Source organism: Homo sapiens, chromosome 13 (assembly GCF_000001405.40).
Source record: "Homo sapiens chromosome 13, GRCh38.p14 Primary Assembly".
Lineage (NCBI taxonomy): Eukaryota > Metazoa > Chordata > Mammalia > Primates > Hominidae > Homo > Homo sapiens.
The window spans coordinates 46933731-46937767 of record NC_000013.11 but is presented as its reverse complement, the minus strand read 5'-3'; the positions used below and the strand labels follow the sequence as shown (position 1 = coordinate 46937767).

General features: G+C 50.5%; 1 annotated feature.

The window, feature by feature from the left end:
* Positions 2170-3369: an enhancer, noted in NCBI's record as "MED14-independent group 3 enhancer chr13:47508534-47509733 (GRCh37/hg19 assembly coordinates)". NCBI's record gives its function as "activates an origin of replication core promoter dependent on BRD2, BRD4, P300/CBP and CDK7 cofactors, and independent of MED14, by STARR-seq in HCT116 cells {active_cell/tissue: HCT116}" and the evidence as "EXISTENCE:reporter gene assay evidence [ECO:0000049][PMID:35650434]".

The window sequence follows — 4037 nt, the reverse complement described above, 5'->3', positions numbered from 1 at the left end:
AATAGCCAGTCTTCAAACTCACTAATTCTTTCTTCTGCTTGATCAGTTCTGCTGGTAAAAGACTGATGCATTCTTCAGTGTGTCAACTGCACTTTTCAACTCCAGATTTTCTGCTTGATGTCTAAAAATTATTTCAATCTCTTTTCAATTTATCTGATAAAATTCTGAATTCCTTCTCTGTATTATCTTGAGCTTTTAAGTTTCCTCAAAAAAAAAAGGTATTTTGTATTATCTGTCTGAAAAACCAAATCTCTGTCTCTCTAGGATTGGTCTCTGGTTCCTTAGTTTGTTTGGTGAGGTCATGTTTTCCTAGATGGTCTTGATGCTTATGGATATTTGTCAGTGTCTGGGCATTGAAGAGTTAAATACCTTTTGTAGTCTTTGCAGTCCGGATTTGTTTGTACCTGCCCTTCTTGGGAATATTTTCCAGGTATCTGCCTTAGGGGGCACCCCAAACCAGGTAACAATGTAGCTCTTGCAGACTTTTGGAGGCACTGCCTTGGTGGTCTTCTATAAGATCCAGGACAATTCTCTGGATTACCAGGCAGAAGTTCTTGTTCTCTTCCCTTACTTTCTCCCAAACAAATGTAGTCTCTGTGCTGAGCAACCTGGAGCTAGAGAGGGGTGGCACAAGCACTCCTGTGGCCACCACCACTGAGGCTGTACTGGGTCAGACCTGAAGCCAGCATGGTACTGAATCTCACTCAAGGCCCACAGTAACCACTATGACTACTGCCTATGTTTTTTTCAAGGCCCCAGAGCTCTACAACCAACAAGTGGCAAACCAGCCAGGCTTGTGTCCTTCCCTTCAGGTTAGCAAGTTCCCCCAGCTCCAGACATGTCCAGAGATGCTGTCCAGGAGCCACAAACCTTAGGAATCTACCTGGTACACTAGTCTACTGTGGCTGAGCTGGAACCCAAGGCACAAGACAAAGCCCTTCCCACTCTTCTCTCTCCTTTCCATAAGGAGAAGAGTCTCTCCCCTTTACCACCACTGCCCCAGGCCTGTGGTGAGTACTGCCTGGCTAGTGCCAATGTTTACTCAAGGCCCAAGGGCTCTTCAGCTTGTGGTGAATGCTGCCTGACCTGGGACTCCCTCTATCCCAGGGCAGATTCAGAAATGCCATCCTAGAGTCAAGGCCTGGAATTGAGAGGTGACAGTGTACTGGCAGTCCTCACAGTCCTCGCTCACTCTCGGCGCCTCCTCTGCCTGGGCTCCCCCTTTGGCGGCACTTGAGGAGCCTTTCGGCCCACCGCTGCACTGTGGGAGCCCCTTTCTGGGCTGGCCAAGGCTGGAGCCCACTTCCTCAGCTTGCAGGGAGGTGTGGAGGTAGAGGCGCCAGCGGGAACCGGGGCTGTGTGCGGCACTTGCGGGCCAGCTGGAGTTCTGGGTGGGCATGGGCTTGGCGGGCCCCCACTCGGAGCAGCCAGCCAGCCCTGCTGGCCCCGGGCAATGAGGGACTTAGCACCCGGGCCAGTGGCTGCGGAGGGTGCACTGGGTCCCCCAGCAGTGCCAGCCCACCGGCGCTGCACTCGATTTCTCACCGAGCCTTAGCTGCCTTCCCGCGGGGCAGGGCTCGGGACCTGCAGCCCGCCATGCCTGAGCCTCCCACCCACTCCATGGGCTCCTGTGCGGCCCAAGCCTCCCCAACGAGCACCACTCCCTGCTCCATGGCGCCAAGTCCCATCGACCACCCAAGGGCTGAGGAATGCGAGCGCACGGCGTGGGACTGGCAGGCAGCTCCACCTGCAGCCCTGGTGTGGGATCCACTAGGTGAAGCCAGCTGGGCTCCTGAGTCTGGTGGGGACATGGAGAGTCTTTATATCTAGCTCAGGGATTGTAAACACACCAATCAGCACCCTGTGTCTAGCTCAAGGTTTGTGAGTGCACCAATCAACACTCTGTATCTAGCTGCTCTGGTGGGGCCTTGGAGAACCTTTATGTCTAGCTCAGGGATTGTAAATACACCAATCAGCACCCTGTGTTTAGCTCAAGTTTTGTGAATGCACCAATCGACACTCTGTATCTAGCTGCTCTGGTGGGGCCTTGGAGAACCTGTGTGTCGAAACTCTGCATCTAACTAATCTGATGGGGACGTGGAGAACCTTTGTATCTACCTCAGGGATTGTAAATGCACCAATCAGCACCCTGACAAAACAGGCCACTCGGCTCTACCAATCAGCAGGATGTGGGTGGGGCCAGATAAGAGAATAAAAGCAGGCTGCCCGAGCCAGCATTGGCAACCCACTTGGGTCCCCTTCCACATTGTGGAAGCTTTGTTCTTTTGCTCTTTGCAATAAATCTTGCTGCTGCTCACTCTTTGGGTCCGCGCTGCTTTTATGAGCTGTAACATTCACCGCGAAGATCTGCAGCTTCACTCCTGAGCCCAGCAAGACCACGAGCCCACCGGGAGGAACGAACAACTCCAGACGTGCCACCTTAAGAGCTGTAACACTCACTGCGAAGGTCTGCAGCTTCACTCCTGAGCCAGCGAGACCACGAACCCACCAGAAGGAAGAAACTCCAAACACATCTGAACATCAGAAGGGACAGACTCCAGACGCGCCACCTTAAGAGCTGTAACTCTCACCACGAGGGTCCGCGGCTTCATTCTTGAAGTCAGTGAGACCAAGAACCCACCAATTCAGGACACAGAATCAGGAACCCCAACAACCCTCTTGGTGTTCTACCCTACTGTGTCTGAGCTGGTACCTAAGCTGCAAGACAAAATCCCATAGACTCTTCCCTCTCCTCTTCTCAAGCAGAAGCAGCCTCTCCTCATAACAACTACAGCTGGGAATATGCTGAGTCACACCTGAAACCAGCATGCCTCTTGAGTTTCACCCAAGGTCCACAGGAAGTGCTACCTGCCTACCATTGCTGCCTATTCAGTGTCCAAGGGCTCTTTAGTCAGCTGGTGACAGAACTGGGTCCTTTCTTTCAAGGCAGTTGATTCCCTTCTGGTCCAGGGTGAGCATAGAAATGTCATCTGGGAGCTAGGGCCTAAAACGGGGCCTCAGGACTTCTCCCAGTGACCAGTCCTGTTATGGCTGAGCTGGTATCCATGTTGGAAGATAAAGTCCTCTTTATTCTTCCTTCCCCTCTCCTCAAGTGGAGGGAAGGAGTCTCTTTTGGAGCTGTGAGCTGTGCTGCCTGGGGTTCAGGGAGGGTGGTACAAGCACTCCCTTGACTGCCCCACCTGGTGTCTCACTAGCTCACATACCCCTCACAAGTCCACTGGACCCATGCCCAGCAAAGCACCAGGACTTGCCCAGGAATTGCAGTCCTTGTAGCCTAGACTATGTTCCAAGTTTAGGACTCCACAGCACTTTAGCCCACAGTGGCAGCACTTACTGGAACTCAGTTTCCAGCTGCTAGGATGGATAATTCTTCTCTAGCTAAGGCTGATCTGAATGTTCCTTCTGTGGCTGCTGGCTGAGTCCTGCCTGGTATTGCTTTCCACTATGACAAGGCAACGCTGAGCTCTAGTGCAAAGTCTTACAATCACTGTGCTCTGTCTCTCCCAGGCAGATGGATTCTCTCTCTGTCCACATGGATGCTGCAAGGGAATAGGGAAGGGGTGGCATAGGCAGTTCAAGACTGTCTTTCCTACCCTCTTCAATGCCTTTCAGTGATCTAAAGTTAAAACCAGGTACTGTGGTTGCTCACTTGGCTTTTGGTTCTTATGAAGGTGCTTTTATGTGTGGACAGCTAAATTTGATGTTCTTACAGGGAGGATGATTAATAAAGGCTTCTATTCAACCATCTTGTTCTGCCTCTTCTCAGAATAAACTTCTTTCAATATGCTTTTGCAGAATTTGGGTTTTCTGTCAACAGCTGTAAATATTAAATTATATAATATATATAAAAGTATTAAGCTATTCTTCTTGCAAGTAATGTTGGTTTCTAATTTCTTCCCTCTTCATTCTTTTTTCCTCCCTTTTTTCCTTCTCTTCTTTATTATTTCCTCATTATCAGCTCCTCAAAAAAAAGATTATGACAAAATGCACTGTTTTTCAATGAGAACTGCTGAAAG